The sequence below is a fragment of the Homo sapiens genome, chromosome 4, assembly GCF_000001405.40.
Source record: "Homo sapiens chromosome 4, GRCh38.p14 Primary Assembly".
NCBI classification, from domain to species: Eukaryota; Metazoa; Chordata; class Mammalia; order Primates; family Hominidae; genus Homo; species Homo sapiens.
In genome coordinates, this window is record NC_000004.12 from 25,840,133 (window position 1) to 25,857,276 (window position 17,144).

A 17,144-nucleotide genomic window follows, 5' to 3' on the forward strand; every position below is an offset into this window, starting at 1 on the left:
TTGAGAATAATACTGTCTTTCCCATGGTACTATTATGAGGATTAAATGAGACAATGTGTGTGAAAAAAGTGTTTCGAAAAATCATAAAGGGGAATGTAGATGCTAGGCATTAATTAGTGTTATTACTGAAAAATTCAGACTACCATGATTAACTGGAAAAAAAGGAACTAGGTCTGTTTTTTTTAATGCCAAATATATAGTTTATAACTACTAAAAGTACTATCATGACATTGACTTGAATAGTCCTGCTGCATAAACCATTTTTTTTCACAAAGACAAGTCAAGGCTGGTTCCAACACTTGACTTAACTTTCAATCATTTTGTTGTAATGAAATTTTGTTATAAAAAATCATACTTCCAGTCCATTGGATCTGAAGATGAGAATGCATTTTTGAAACGAAAAGAGTGGAGAAGAAGAAAACTGCCATGTTGCCCCAGAGTTTCTTATTTAAGAGGGAAGATCAGAGAAGTGTTCATAAAGCTAAACATTAGGGCATTTAAGAACCTTCCAAGAGTGTTCCTAAACTGCTTATCCAGTCTTACTTCTTGAATTGCCCATGTCACACCTGAGATTATACCTTGGAAAATAAACCACAGCAAGTGTGCTGCTAGTCCACATTTCCACTCCATGGCAGACAGTAACTGATGGACATGGCACTCTTTCTCAGTAAGTGCAGACTCATCCTCAGAATCCTACTCAACACCATGCTCTAGGCAGCCACCCCCAAGCAACACAAGCTAGCCTGTGAGATGAAGCCCTTGTTGCCATCTTTCCCGTCAAGGAACAAAGGCTTATCACCATTTCCCAATCCGGAATTTTCTCCTTTGTGTGCCACAGCTTATGCCTTCCCCTCTGCCTGAAAGCTCAATGTCCTTCTTTCATTCCTTTTTTTTTTTTCCTTCTTCTTCTCTTTTTTTGAGACAGAGTCTTGCTCTGTCACCCAGGCTGGAGTGCAGTGGCACCATTTTGGCTCACTGCAGCCTCCATCTCCTGAATTCAAGCAATTCTCCCACCTCAGCCCCCCAAGTAGCTGGGACCACAGATGCATGCCACCATGCCTGGCTAATTTTCTGTATTTTTAGTAGAGATGGGCTTTCACCATGTTGGCTAGGCTGGTCTCTAACTCCTGGCCTCAAGTGATCTGCCTGCCTCAGCCTCCCAAAGTGCTGGGATCACAGGCGTGAGCCACTGCACCCAGCCCCTCCTTTTTGATCCATGAAAACTCTACACATCCTTCAAGTCTCTGTCAAAATGTCACCTCCTCTGAAGAAGCCACACAAAGTGCTTAACACACACAGATTGCTCAGGAACTTTTTTTCAGTGAATGAATGACTTAAAATAAATAAATAGCTTCATGACATCACCTGGTAGTTTAGCCTAATGAATAAGTGTGGGGTTTGGGAACCAAACTATCCAGGTTCAAACTCCAGCATCTTCATTAATAGCTGTGCAAACTTAGACAAACTACTCTATCTCTCTGAGTCAGTTTTCTGTTTTCTCCTTGGTGGAATATTGGGCATATTAAATTAAATAACAGCGGGCCAGGCGCTGTAGTTCACCCAGCACTTTGTAATCCCTGCACTTTGGGGGCCGATGCAGGCAGATCACTTGAGGACAGGAGTTTGAGACCAGCCTGGCCAACATAGCGAAACACCATCTCTACTGAAAATACAAAAATTAGCTGGGTGTGGTGGCACGTGTCTGTAACACCAGCTACTCGGGAGGCTGAGGCAGGAGAATCGCATGAACCTGGGAGGCGGAGGGTGCAGTGAGCTGAGATCGCGCCACTGCACTCCAGCCTGGGTGACAGAGCAAGACCCTGTCTCAAAAAAATTAGATAACCACGTAAACCACATAAAGCACTTTGACAGTGCCTGGCACATAGCAAATGTTCAGTAGCAGTAAGTGACTGTAACTATTGGTAGCCATGTTAAAGAGGGTGGCTTTGTCCTCATCTTTAAGCCTCCACACTCAGTAAAGAAATTGATACATAGTAGGTGCTCAGTCAATCTTTGTTTAATTGAATGAATCATGATACGTGTCATAGGAGCAGTACCAACACAGCATTCTGATGGCCAGCATTTATGAAGTTAATTTCTGGTTGTGGAAATTAAAAAAAAAAAAACTCAACAAAACTTCAGGGTGGGGGCTAGAAAAGTGTTAGAAATTTGAGCAGGCTGTTGAAATAGGGGCATGATTTTGCCAAGCAGACATGGAAAGTGGCAGTGGGGGGCGGTGTTGCTTCGTGGGCAGGGGGAGTCGGGGCGGAACAGGAGCTATTCTAAGGAAAAGAAACTGCTTTAGCAAAGACATAGGGGTGGGGAATCAAAGACTTAAACCACAAAGGGGAAGCTGAGCTTACCTGTGGCTGCAAAGGAGAATCCCTGAACAGGAGGAGCCTGCAGCCTTAACTAGCGCAGCCCTGGTGGGTTTGTCTGGGAAGCTGTGGAGTGTGTGCAGTGGCCCTAGGGAAGGAGCACTGCCACCTCCACCCCCACACCCTCCCTCATGTGGCAACACAGCCCTGCAAGGGTATCAGTGTGTGATGTTCACAAACTGTCCTTCCCTCTTGGTTAAGAGCATTCATTCAATCAACAAGTAGTCATGAGTGCAGGGGCCTATGATCAGCATCAGAACAAAGCAAACAAGTCCCCTGGCCTCATGGAGCTTGTGCTCCAGTGTGGGCCAGGAAATAGGCACATAGGCAACTAAAGATATTTACTGAAACTGTCCAGTGGTGATCAGGCCAGGAAGGAAAATGAAGGTGGACAATGACAGGCAGGGCGGTGGGGGTGGGCCTGCTGTCTTAGATAAGGAGATGGCATTGGAGCAGAGGGGTAGGTGAGGTAAGGAAGTGGCCATGTGGTGATCTGGGAGAAGAGCATCTTAGGTGGAGGGAGCAGTCACACAGATGTCCCAAAGTGAGAATGAACTTGGTATGCTCCAGGAGAAGCAAGCGGGCCCCTGTGGCTGGAAGCAGTGGGGAAGGGTGTGCGTGGTGGGACACAAGGCTGCAAGGGGACAGGGACAGATTCCCACAGAGTAAGGGGCATGGGTTGATCTTAACTGGGATCAGTGGATTATGGGAGGAACTGGGGGGCTTAATCAGGCAGTGATGCAATCACCTTGCACTGGCTGCTGGTGGGGGGTGAGGAGGGTACGACGGGCAAAACTGGGTGGCCACTTGCAGGCAGTGCCAGGAGTCCAGACAGGAGGATGACGGCTTAGACCAGGATGACGGCACTCCACGTGGTGAGAAATGCAAGAAGGGACTGAATATGTGACACATACAGCCAGCACTAGGTGACTCTCAAAATAGAGTATGACAGGAAGAGAAGTCCAGGTGGGTCCCCAGGTCTGGGGCCCAAGTCACTGGCCTGCATGGCTGATTCCTTTCTTTCTGTGACTCCAGCGTGAGTCAGGCACACATGTGATTTGGGAGGGACAACAGAAACGCCCAGTCCCCTCCCTCAAGGAAATAAGCCACATTAGGTAGATCCACAGTCTGCCTATGGCTACATATGCCCCCCACACCCAGAATGCAGCAGTAACACGTGCACCGGGGGCATGTGGCCGAGTCGTGGCACACACGTGTTCCCAATGGCTACCGACTTCTCATCTGGGTTAGGTTTTCCCTGCAGGGCTGGGTAAACGTCTGCTGCGTCTCCACCAAAAATCAGCCTCATGGCCTGGCCGGGTCTGGCCTGGCAAAGGAGATAAGCTGCTGAGAGCCGTGTCTGGACACACGTGGCCCTCGCCTCGGGAGCCTTGGCAAAGCCAGCGATGGAGGCCCTCCAAGCACACTTCCAGAACGCCCGGGCACAGGGACTTTGACTCTTTTTATACATGAAAAGGAAAATGAAAGCAAGTCAGGGAGTACTTCAGTTCAGAGGCAGGGCCATCGTAGGACACCAGGCACTTGACACAGAAAACCTTCCCTGAAACCCCACATCAGTGCTGGCTGAGACAGGGACCATACATGACAGGCCCCCTGTGGCTCAGCTCGGAGCCTCACTAATGCCATCTTGTTCTGACTTGATTCTTGTTCATCAAGAAGCCCCTGCTAAGAACAAACCAGAGGCTTGGCCCCCTTCTATCCCCACAGCCCAGATCCAGAACAAAGGTCATGGATGTTTTCCATGGGACTGCTGCAGACCCTCTTGTGATCTGTCTTTTGGAGAAGGAAGAATGTGTGCCCCTTTTTCGGTAAACAAATCACAGCCTTGTAATCAGAGCTTATTTTGAGGGTGCATGGAGCTCCCCACCATTTTCAGTGACTTTAACTCTTGGGAAAGGGTTTTCTCTGCGTTATGGTTTAATTCTCACTCCTAAGGTAATGCTCTGAAGCAGGTGAGGAGAAAAATCCCACTGTGCTGTTCCTAAGCCTTGTGAATATGAGAAGAAACAACAAAAGAAGGAAAAGACGTTTCACATTTTAAGGGCATATTCAGGTGCCCTAAGAACTGAGCCAGTTCGTTAAATGATTTCATTTGGAAACTTCCAGCTTGCAATTCAGTCATTCTTCAATCAGAAATACATGATTTGTCAAATATGAAATGGAATCATTAATCCCTGACAAAGTCGGAGGTACAGCAAATTGTGGCTGTGTGTGCCCCACGCTATCTTCCCCTTAACAAATTAGGTGGCCCTGTGGAAGGTATTCCAGACAGATGCCTGCATGGGGCTCTGCCTGGAAGAGGGAGGCACACTGATCATCAAAATGATTGACTTGACTGCTTTCAGACATTTAACTACCCATCCCACCCTCCCCACTATGTGCACACACACAGAAAGGGAATTTACTTTCATCTTCTAGACATCTTTTCATTTAAAGCACTGCACAAATGCAGAATAAACCAGACAGACAGGGTTATTAAAATGTAGGTTAAAATTGTATAGATCTACACAAACACAGGACCCCCTGTAAAAAGTGGTAAAATCTGAGTAAGGTCTGGAGTCCAGTTAACAGTATTAGATCAGCATTACTTCCCCAATTTTGATTTTGCACTGTAGTTATGGAAAATGAGGAAGCGGGGGTGAGGATACACAGGGACCCTGTACCCTTTGCAACTTTCTGTGAATCTATACTTATTTCAAAATAGTTTTAATTCAGCACTTTGGAAGGCCAAGGTGGGAGGACTGCTTGAGCCTAGGAGTTCAAGACCAGCCTGGGCAACATAGGAAGACCCCATCTCTACAAAAAAATAAAAAAATAAACTGGGTGTGGTGGTACATGCCCATGGTCCCCGCTACTCAGGAGGCTGAGGTGGGAGGATTGTTTGAGCCCAGGATGTTGAGGCTATAGTGAGTTATGATCGTGCCACTGCACTCCAGCTTGGGTAACAGAGTGAAACCCTGTCTCAAAACAAGAAAAAGTTTTGAAAAATATCAAATGTGCCAGTTCTAGGGTAAGTGGCTTCTGACCAACTATCATGTATGGTGACACAGGTCCTTTCAGTTTTCATTATATGCAGAGCTGTTTTGGGACAGTACCAAGAAATCGCCACAGTCATTATTTCCCCCAAAGATAGCCCAACAGAAATCACATCCCAGAGATGACAAGAAATTGATCACTAAAGGAAAAACTTAGAGTGCATGTCCTTAAGTCACCTTGTCCCAAACCCATCCTGTTGATGAAATGTCAGGCACTTCCTGTGGAAGGGTCTGTTGCCACAAATCCATGGATGTCCTCTGCCTGCCAAGCCTGGCTGGGGGTCGGGACACGGGAACCATAGCAATCCTAAGTCCAACCAGCTCTGTCCCTGGCCCACAGGTTCTCAAGTTTTAGGGTGCATTAGAGTCGTGAGGAAGGTGTTTAAAATGCCGATTCCAAGCCTTCCCCCACCCCCGCAGATCCTGACTAAGTAGATGAAGGACTGGGCCTAGGAATTTGCATTTGCAACAAGCATTTGTGATTCTGTCACAGGTGGTCCTAGGGCCACAGTTGAGGAAACAACTGGGCGCATGTGTGGGGAGGGCTCCCCACTGAGGGGGCAGAAGAAGAGCTGGCAGGCACTCGGCATCCACAGAGCAAGGCGCTCCTTGCACCAATGGAGAGAACTTCAGAGTGCCGCCTCTCAGCACATGCCTGAGATCTCCAGCCCCACGGCTTAAGGGAGGCTGCAGAAGGGCCTTGGAGCCTCCGGGATTGGTCCTGCTGAGGCTGTGACCATGTGGCATTTAGGATAAAATGCAGAGTGTGGACTCTATCATCATCACAGCTTCTCACTGAGTGCTGATGATGTGCTGAGCAATCACATCTCATTTAGTCCTCACAGCACTGCTCTGAAGGAACTGCTTGTTATCCCCATTTTACAGATAGGAAAACTGAGGCTCAGAGACTTCCAAGGTTACAGAGATAGAAAGTGGCAGGACAGGAATCAGGCCCAGCCAGAGGTTACCATTCTGTGGTACAACCTCCCTTTCTGTTGGAAGGGTTCCTTTAGGTTCTCATCTCCTCCAGGATAAAACACTCTGCTTAAAAATAATAGAGGCCCCGGCATGGTGGCTCACACCTGTAATCCCAGCATTTTGGGAGGCTAAGGCAGGCAGATCGCCTGAGGTCAGGAGTTTGAGACCAGCCTGGCCAACATGGTGAAACCCCATCTCTACTAAAAATACAAAAATTAGCCTGGCATGGTGGTGGGTGCCTGTAATCCCAGCTACTCGGGAGGCTGAGGCAGGAGAATTGCTTGAACCTGGGAGGCGGAGGTTGCAGTGAGCCGAGTGAGATCTCGCCACTGCACTCCAGCCTGGGCAACAGAACAAGACTCCATCTCAAAAAAAAAAAAAAAAAAAAAAGAGGAAACTTTAGCAGGCTTGTTGGAAGGTGAGTGGGAAGATTTTCCCAATCCTTGTTTCGGTGGCATGAATACTCCTTTCCAGCTTAAAGCAGATCTAACCCTCTCAAAGTCCACCTTCCTCAGCTCCTCTGTTCTGTTCTTTCATCTTTGGTCCTGCTCTCTCCTAATCTTTCTCCTCTCTTCCCCTTTTAATTTTTCTCCTTTTGTCTTCAAACTCCAAAGTTACAGACTCATTGTGTCCCTCCATCTTCCCTGTATCCCCCTTCGCTAATAGAAGAATTTTCTCTTGCCATTCGATCATGATACAGGCTATCTGAAAAAATGAGAATTAGGTTCCTAGCAAGATAGATGACCTACCATTTTCCAGAGGACACTGTGGAATCCTGTTTGCCCGAAGGTTCCAAATATAACCCATGTTCCACTCAAGGCACACTTGATGATCTTTGAAAGGGCGTTCAAAAGGCGGGATGGTCTGCAGGAGGGTATAATTCTTTGCTACAGCATGGAGCAAGTTTTCCTCCCATTTAACATTCCAGTCTCTGCCACTGTATTTGTGAGTAATCCAGGCGCGTACTATCACTGCAGATACAGAGATGGAATGTCTGATGAAATAATCATCTCTGTAAACCATAATGCTTGGAAATTTCACATGTACTATTTGTGTCCTGCTGGTGTGAAGATGTTTCTCATTCTTCCACCTTTTTTTGTACACGGGAATGCTACTTCTGAACTCAGATGAAACAACTGCTTCCAAATTGACAACACAAGGCTGAGAGCATAAATACTCAACCGAGACTTCAGAAACGTTGCGAACGTTTCCTTCAAAGACAGTAAAATAAATAAAGTCTTTGTAAGCCACGCTCTGCTCAGCTTTGGGTATCACTGATGTCGTCAGGGAAGTCTGCCTACCCAAAGATGGTACAACATTCTGAAAAAAAGAAAAAGAAAGTAAGAAATACAGAAAGTTTAAAAATCCTCATCATAACAGATACTTGAATCATTATTTTCCTGGGATAAAAAAATATCAATCTACATAAAGCAATGAATGAATGCGGGAGATAAAAGATGTCAAAACCACTACTGAAGAATTGGGGAAAAACCAACACACAAATACAAAGGAAGATGAGGCCACATTAAACTCTCTCCCCAGACACAGTAACATCTGCTGATCAGAATGTGACTGTCACATCTACATGGCAATAATTCCAGAGTTGGTTTTCAAAGGCAGAAGTTGGTTCACAACAAATCCAGTAGCAAGGGAACCTGCCTTAGAATAAAACAGAGACAATGCAGCTTCAGACATTTTCAAACCATTGTCCTGACTTTAAATGGTGGGTCAGACACTACCAAATCAAAGGGTGGCAGAAAAGTGAAAAGTGCACCCTCGAGGGAACATAACAGGGATGCCAACCTGGCCCCTTTTTCTCCCATAAGTTTGAAGCCAGGGCAAGCCTGCATGATATATGGACAGGCAAGAGGCTTCTATTGCTCCTGGTCACACACAAGTAAGCTCAGACGATGGGCTGTGTTGTCTGATTCTTTCACCACAGACAATGCTACATGCACCAAGAAGGATTTTAGCTGAATGTTTATTTATCTGGTCATGAAATCAATGCAAGGTTTTGAGCATGAGGTGCTGATATGTGAGTGCTAAGAGCTCTCCTAAATATGACTTTGTGATTCAAGTATCCAAAACACAATAGAAAAAGGTCACTTTGGACCACTGCATATCCATTAGGGTGGCTATTATTAAACACACACAACGCATACACACAGAGAGAAAATAACAAGTGTTGGTGAAGATGTGGAGAAACTGGAACCCTTATGCACTCTTAATGAGAATGTAAAATGGTGTGGCTACTATGGAAAATAGTATAGCAGTTCCTCAAATAAATTAGACACAGAATTATCATATGATCAGACTGGGCGTGGTGGCTCATGCCTTCAATCCCATAACTTTGGGAGGCCCAGGTGGGTGGATCACTTGAGGTCAGGAGTTCAAGACCAGCCTGGTCAACATGGTGAAACCCTGTCTTTACTAATAATACAAAAATCAGTTGGGCAAGGTGGTGCACACCTGTAATTCCAGCTCCTTGGGAGGCTGAGGCAGGAGAATCACTTGAACCCGGGAGGTGGAGGTTGCAGTGAGCCAAGATCACACCACTGCACTCCACCCTGGGCAACAGAGTGAGACTCCATCTCAAAAAAGAATTATGGTATGATCAGACCCAGCAATTCCACTTCTGGATATACACCCCAAAAATTTAAAGCAAGGACTTGAAGAGATGTTTGTACACCCGTGTTCATAACAGCATTACTCACGCTAGCCAAAAGCAACCCCAAGGGTCCATCCATGGATGAATGGGTAGAAAAAATGTGGTATATACATGGGATGGAATATTATTCAGCCCATAAAAGGGAATGAAATTCTGATGTATGCTGTAAAATGGATGAACTTTGAGGAGATGAGGCTAAGGAAAACAAGCTAGACACAAGAGAACAGACATTATATCATCCGCCTACATGAAGCACCTAGAGTAGTCAAACTCACAGAGACAGAAGGGAGAAAAGAGGTTACCAGGGCCTAAGGGAAGAGGGGATTGAGGAGTTAGGATTTAATGGGTCCAGAGTTTCAGTTTGGGACGATGAAATAGTGAGACAGAAAGTGGTGCTGGTTGCAAAACAGTGGGAATGTCCTTAACACCACTGAACTGTACACTTAGAAATGATTAAAAAGGTACATTTTAATGCTTGCATATTTTTACCACAATTTAAAAGAAAAAAGTCACTTTGGTCTCCTCTGAGGAAAAAAATAAGGACTCCTTTTTTCAATTCTGACTTAGAGCTGCGGGAGAGGCAAAGATGGACAAGACATGAAATTTGGTATCAAGGAATCGTGTCTATAAATAATGGCAATACAGGCGAAACGTGGTCAGTGTTCCCATCAAACTGTAAACAAGCCCAAGGGTGCATAGCACTGAGAGAGAATAATTCTAACTGGAAGGTCTGGGATAGGCTTTATGGAAGAAACGGTATCTCAGTTGGGCTTTGAGGGACGAAAAGAAGTTCTTCACGTAGAGACACAAGGGAAAGGCACTGCAAGGGGTGTGAACAGCATAAGCCGGGCAAGAGGCAGGGGAATGCAGGTGTACTTGGGGAATAGCAAGCAGCTATGTGGACACGCAGGTATGAGGTTAAAAAGAAAAGTAGAGTTTGGCCCTGGAGAACATTGAGTCCCAGCCCAACGAATGTGAACTTTTATTCTACCGACAGCAAAGAATCAACAAAGGTTTCTGTACAAGGGGGTGGTGTCTCCCTTTTAAAGCAACTGATAGTCAATGTCAATTAGAAACAAGGCTAACAATTCATACAAAAATGAGCAAATGACATAGCTAATCAACAAGTAAATGCTCATTCATAGTAAGATAAATGCAAACTGAAACTGCACTGAGATACCATTTTTTCCCTACTAGATTTGCAAAGATCAAAAAGTCAGATAACACATCGTACTGACCAGAGTGTAGGAAGCATGCCCTCTTATGTATTGTTGGTGGCAGTAATCTCTAATCTTTATGAGGCCAATCAAGTAATATCTACTAAAATTATAAATGCACTCACCCTCTGGACCAATAATTTCACTACTAGGAGTTTAACCTACTAATACACTGAAAGTTGTGCAAAATGATGTTTGTGTAGATTTTCACACCAGTACAGTTTGCAATTGCAGGAGATAGGGAAGCCTAAACTCATCAAGAGGGAGCTGGTTAAATAAAAATAGTACATCCACTCATGGAGTACCATACAGCTATTAAAAGGAGGAAGCTCTTCACGTACAGAAAATGGAATGATCGCAAAGGGTTTTCTGTCTGGTTTTTTTGTTTGTTTTTGAATTTTCAGGGTTTTCTTTTTTTTGTTTGTTTGTTTTTTTTTTTGAGTTGGAGTCTCACTCTGTCATCCAGGCTGGAGTGCAGTGACGCAATCTCGGCTCACTGCAACCTCTGCCGCCCAGGTTCAAGTGATTCTCCTGCCTCAGCCTCCCGAGTAGCTGGGATTACAGGCACCTGCCACCACACCCGGCTGATTTTTGTATTTTTAGTAGAGATGGGGTTTCACGATGTTGGCCAGGCTGGTCTCGAACTCCTGACCTCAAGTAATCCACCCACTTCAGCCTCCCAAAGTGCTGGGATTACAGGCGTGAGCCACTGTGCCCAGCCCAGGTTTTGAAATTTCAGGTTTGTTGGAATATAATTCACACCACACAATTCACACACTGAAAGTGTAAATTGCAACGTTTTCTAGTAGATTTACAGAGTTAGTCAACAATCAATCATTACAACAATCAATTTTCAAACATTTCATTGCCCCAAAATGAAACCCAGTACCCACTGGCAGTCACTTCCCATTTTTTTGCTTGCTTTTAAAAAACAGACTCAGAAATACCATTTGGATTAAATACACACTCACACCACACACACACATATATATGTACATGTGTATAGTCACTTGAATACACATATCACTGGTTGCTTACACGGATAAGAATGAGGTGACCAGGAGACAGAATAAGAGAGAAAGATGCACTGTATATCCTTCCCTAACTTTTGAATTGTGTACTACACAATTTTTTTTTAAGTAGGTGAGGAGAAAGCAACTGTCCTAAAAGGTCAAAGTGGGCCGGGCATGGTGGATCACGCCTGTAATCCCAGCACTTTGGGAGGCTGAGGTGGGCGGTTCACGAAGTCAAGAGATCGAGACCATCCTGGCCAGCATGGTGAAACCCCGTCTCTTCTAAAAATACAAATATTAACCGGGCGTGGTGGCACATGTCTGTAGTCCCAGCTACTGGGGAGACTGAGGCAGGAGAATTGCTTGAACCCGGGAGGCAGAGGTTGCAGTGAGCCGATATCGTGCCACTGCATTCCAGCCTGGCGACAGAGTGAGACTCTGTCTCAAAAAAAAAAAAAAAAAAAAGGTCACAGTGGAAACTATGTCTTCTGCAAATGGCAGAGGGAATAGGAGAAGAGCTGGTGATTCCTTTTGACCAGTCATGGGCAACCTGTGGGAAGAGATATATAAAGAAGGGGGTACAATGCAAACTGTCCATGCCACCCCCCCCAGGAGAGGTTTAATTGTTTTATGTTCTCGTTTATGCTGCCAGATTACAGGGAGGAAACACATATAAAAATCATCTCATAATTAGAAGCAGAGAATGTTACAGTGGATGAGTCTGGTGACAAGCCAGTCTACTCTCTTATTCTGCAGACGAGGAAATGACAATCAAGAGGTGACATTCTCCAACACCACCCAGCTGGTGGGTGAGCAAAGGCAAGCCCAGAAACCTGGCTCCTTTTCTAGCCACCCACCCACTCCCACCTTCCCCACGCCATAGCAAATGATATCAATGGTGACTAATGGTCACCATTCCATGGCCTCCTGGAAACTCTAGACTAAATTCTGCTTCCACATGAATAGGGATATACCCAGCATTTGTCCATAAGTGCTGGTTTATTAATTCAGCCAGATATGCCAAGATGTCGCCCCCATTCTCAAGATGCAAATCACAGTGTTAAGTCCACAACAGAGTTTCACCCAAGGCCAGGGATCGCTGGTGCTGGCGGAAGCCGAACCAGCCAATGGGTGGCCAACACGCCTTATTCCAAAGCAATGCCCCGAATGTTTCCCTCACTAATCCCACAAATAAGTCAAATGTCAAATAAGACATTTGCTTATTTTGTGAGACAAAGGGCAGCCCAGCACCCAGGACATGCAGAGGTGTATTAAATATCACACTTTGTTCTTTCCCAAAGAACAACTTAAAACCTCTTCCTCATTCCTTTCATGTATACCTTAAAAACTCACCCAGGCTCAGCTCTCCCACTTTGATAATTTTTTGAGTAGGGATAAGGGGTGTCAGATTTTTAGTGCTGATGCTAGGATCTCCAGTGAAAACCTCTTTTAAACAGAATGCCAGGGTAATGACCATTTGATTTTACTAGAAAAGTGCAGTTCATAATAACCGTGTTCATTATTTTACATCTTACTGCTAAAAATGCAACAGTCCACTTTTCTTCATTAATTAATGCAGCACCCTGAGTGTGGTTTCAGTTTTGTTTGATGGTCCATGCTTATAACATTGTGGATAATGGACATACATACACGCCAGGTGTTGTGGCTCATGCTGGTAATCCCAGTGCTTTGGGAGGCCAAGGCAGGAGGATCACTTGAGCCTCAAAATTCAAGGTTACAGTGAGCTATGATAGTGCCAATGCACTCCAGACTGAGCAATAGAGTAAGGCCCTGTCCCCTCCAAAATAAAAATAAAAATAAGAAGGCATATACACATTTCACCGTGTACTCTCCACAGAGCCGTCCCTTCAAATTCTGTTTCAAAAAAACTCTCCATATACTTATATGAAGATTATTTCATTTTCACCTGTTTCAAAGTCTCAGGTGCAGTAAAAGTTACCCCAAGGTATATAGGTGTTAGACATATGTTATCCAACATGGTAGTCACAAGTCATATTAAGCACTTGTAATGTGGCTGGTCTGATTTGAGATGTCCTGTAAGTGTAAAATATTCATTGAATTTCAAACCCTTTGTATAAAAAAAAGGGCTGCAAAATATCTCATTAATAAATTTTATATTAATTGTATGTTGACATGACAATATTTGGATACACTGAGTTAAATAAAATACATTAATATTCATTATGCCTGCTCTTCTTACCTTTTTTTTTTTTTTTTTTTTTTTTTGAGATGGAGTCTCGCTCTGTCGCCCAGGCTGGAGTGCAATAGGGCAATCTCGGCTCATTGCAACCTCCGCCTCCCGGGTTCTAGCGATTCTCCTGCCTCAGCCTCCTGAGCAGCTGAGATCACAGGCATGTGCCAACATGCCCAGCTAATTTTTGTATTTTCAGTAGAGACAGGGTTTTGCCATGTTGGCCAGGCTGGTCTCGAACTCCTGACCTCAGGTGATCCACCTGCCTCGGCCTCCCAAAGTGCTAGGATTACAGGTGTGAGCCACTGCCCCCGGCCTCTCTTTACTTTTTTAACATAGCTACTAGAGAATTTAAAATGATATATGTGGCTTGAAATTTGTGGTTCACATTGTATTTCAACTGGATAGTGCTATTCTAAATTTGAGGTCAGCTGACTTTCTTGGGAAAAGAAAAATAGCCAGATGGTAAATATTTTAGGTTTTGCAGGGACACTTTGAAACAGCCATAGGGACAACACATAACTGAATGGGTGTGGCCGTGGTCCCATACAACTTTGGTTACAAAAACAGGCAGCTGACTGGACAGGCCCACAGGCCTATAGTTTGCGAACTGCTTTTCTAAATTATCAAGCTTTTTTTTTGAGACTGAGTCTCCCTCTATCGCCCAGGCTCAAGTGCAGTGGCACAATCTCAGCTCACTGCAACCTCTGCCTCCCAGGTTCAAGTGATTCTCGTGCCTCAGCCTCCTGAGTACCTGGGACTACAGGCACGTGCCACCACACCCGGGTAATTTTTATATTTTTAGTAGAGACCGAGTTTCACCATGTTGGCCAGGCTGCTCTCGAACTTCTGACCTCAGGTGATCCACCCACCTCGGCCTTCCAAAGTGCTGGGATTACAGCATGAGCCTACAGCGCCTGGCCAATTATCAAGCTATTATCCCAGATAGAGTTTTGAAGAACAAAAGGTGACAGAAGATATGCTTTGTTAGGAGTTCTCATATAGGAGAAACGGGGTGAATAGCTCAACTGGGCATCATTTCATATGTGTGTAGTTGATGGGGCTTGATTCTGTATTTTTCTAAAAGGTTCCCTGGTGGAGAGTGTTGACATTTTGCTATTGTTTCTTTCAGAAAAGATCTAAGTCAGAGGATAACATGAAGTTAAGCTAGGCAAAGAGATCAAATTTTAAGGACTGAGATGGATTGTTTGACAAGTAGGAGAAGCTTGAATGACAGCTGGAGTACAAGAGAAGAGAAACTTCGGGGTGGGGCAATGTTTCCTTAAGTTAATGAGGGTGTGTTGGCCCCAAAGAGGGCCTCAAAATCACCCTGCATGGCCTGTGCAGAACATGGTCTAAACCCTTCAAGAAGGTGCTTTGAGGCACCCATGCAATGAAGGAAGCTGGCATCCGGTGGCTTGTAGCAGACCTGTGGGCAGCTGATTCACCACGAGTCGTGGCTACCTTTCCTATGCACAAAACCAACACTGATTAGCAACACATCACACTCTAAATATTGATTAAGCTGAAGCTGACTTCCTGGCTCAAGTCATGTGTGTGGTTATAAGCTGTTTCCTGCCAGGAAAATAAGGCAATTAACTTGAAGAGTTCCAGCTACAGGCATGACACGTGTCCAGCCTTCATAGGTATTTTCACATGCCAGGTTGCATTAACACAAGCTAAAAATTTATCTGCATGTTCCTTTGTTTAGAAATTATGAGTTCAGAGTCCATGTCATTGTTATGTTTCCAGCTTCTAAGATAGAGTCTGACACACAGTAAGAATTTAGTAAGTGTTTCTTGCTGAAATAAAGCACTGGGGCTGGGCACGGTGGCTCATGCCTGTAATCCCAGCACTTTGGGAGGCCGAGGCGGGTGGATCACCTGAGGTCAGGAGTTTGAGACCAGCCTGGTCAACAAGGTGAAACCTTGTCTCTGCTAAAAATACAAAAAAAAAGTTAGCCAGGTGTGGTGGCGGGCACCGGTAATCCCAGCTACCTGGGAGGCTAAAGCAGGAGAATCACTTGAAACTGGGAGGTGGAGGTTGCAGTGAGCCGAGATTGTGCCACTGCACTCCAGCCTGGACAACAGAGCGAGATTCCGTCTCAGGAAAAAAAAAAAGCACTGGGCATGGGCATTTCTGCCAGGTGCCTCAGTGGCCCTGAGGGCACTTGCATATAAACCAAATGACTTGATCAGTTTTGAGTCCCCACTGCCTTCTTCTTATACTCGTAAGTTCTCTTGTAAGGGGCCCCCATCATTTCTCTATTTTTCTCCCAGCCTCGTTAATTCCTTCCAAAGAGCCCTTACCCTTTGGCACCTCATTGGTCCCTGGGGATCAGAGCTGAGCTGGGGAACTGTGAGGTCAGAGAAGGTGGCACCTTGGCACCCACCTTAACCATTTGGGGCAAACTTCTCCCAGCTATTTGGTCCCTCTAGACCTTTTCAGACAACTGCCCTACATTCTAGACCGTTTCCATTTCTCCACACCAAAAATACAAATTAAATTTTTAAGATTTCTCATCCCTCGACCCTCTGCTGAATTCCTGTTCATCTGGCAAGTTCATCCATGTTACTGTGATAATGAAAAAATACTGAGGTAAGGTCACGTATCTGTATTTCTACACCAGCTTTGTGGAGATAATGCCTTAAAAGCACAGTCTAAATGCACCGCAACTCTAAGCAAGATATTTGGGGTGAAGAGGGGCATCTGTGCCCCTCAAATTATGTGGTTTAGGCAGCTACAATAGATGTTCCACCTTGAAAGCAACATACTGATCCATTTTGCACGCAACAGAGCTGGGCCCTGAAAAATGCTTGAGCCCTCAAATATGTTTATACCAGATGTGAGCCCTCATCAAAGTCAAATTTGACAACGTCATGCACAGTCACAAAACACAGATTCTCTTGCTTTTGTGTAAATGTGCATGTATTGTAATTAAAAAAAAAAAAAAAAAAAACAAAGAAATGGGCCAGTTAATGTGTGTTCATGATAGAAGACCCCAAATAGGAGATCTAAATGCATTGAACTCAGCCTGGGAATCAAGAAACAGATGAATTTATGTATATTCTGGATGGAAAAATAAAACTATCAATATGACCTAAACTTCTTTTAGGATAACTGCATTTGATTCCTTTAAGAAAATCAATAAGAAGAGATGCTATTCAAATAACCCTCCCTTGCTCAAAGAGCTGAGAAAACTTGGCTTTGTTCTCTATCTGGTCTCCACTTGGTATTTAAGGAAGGAACAGAGAGATTGGGAAACTTTAAATCATCCACATCTTGCTACGGGAAGTTCATTGGCATGTACACATGTCTGTGGGTGGGTATGACAAGAAAACAATAACTGTTTTTCTCATTCCTGACCTTTCTGCCCCATTCTTCTAAGAAAACTGTGGCTCATGAGGGCTTTCTCTTCAAACTGGCTGGATCACATTTTCCCTAGATCAAAAAGGTAAGTGTCTTGCCTTAAAGGGCCTATTTTTGTAATTTCTGTCTACTAGATATAAGCAAAAATTCTGTTTAGGTCAACAAAGCATGCAATTAAGCAAAATGGATGATGATGTCAATACAGACTTCAAAATCAGCATGTGCTTAGGGAAGAACTTCCCAGTTGAGTATT

General features: G+C 44.6%; 1 protein-coding gene across 9 annotated transcripts in view, besides 2 other annotated features; it reads right to left on the bottom strand.

The window, feature by feature from the left end:
- The window catches only part of SEL1L3 (SEL1L family member 3), a 149,603-nt gene that overhangs the window by 126,169 nt on the left and 6,290 nt on the right, over window positions 1-17,144 (bottom strand). For all 9 annotated transcript variants that reach the window (XR_007096387.1, XR_007096388.1, XR_001741182.3 and 6 more), the window contains exon 2: window positions 7,162-7,732. Coding sequence is in view for 5 of the 9 variants with exons in the window: in NM_001297592.2 (NP_001284521.1) it covers window positions 7,162-7,732 (571 nt within the window). In the remaining 4 variants the exon portion in view is untranslated. The remainder of the gene's footprint in view (window positions 1-7,161; window positions 7,733-17,144) is intronic.
- Window positions 3,401-4,169: an enhancer, noted in NCBI's record as "H3K27ac-H3K4me1 hESC enhancer chr4:25845155-25845923 (GRCh37/hg19 assembly coordinates)". NCBI's record gives its function as "activates a minimal SCP1, AML or CMV promoter by ChIP-STARR-seq in naive H9 embryonic stem cells {active_cell/tissue: H9 hESC(naive)}" and the evidence as "EXISTENCE:reporter gene assay evidence [ECO:0000049][PMID:30033119]".
- Window positions 5,775-6,069: a silencer, noted in NCBI's record as "tiled region #8438; K562 Repressive non-DNase unmatched - State 15:Elon". NCBI's record gives its function as "represses a minimal TATA promoter and a strong SV40 promoter by Sharpr-MPRA in K562 cells {active_cell/tissue: K562}" and the evidence as "EXISTENCE:reporter gene assay evidence [ECO:0000049][PMID:27701403]".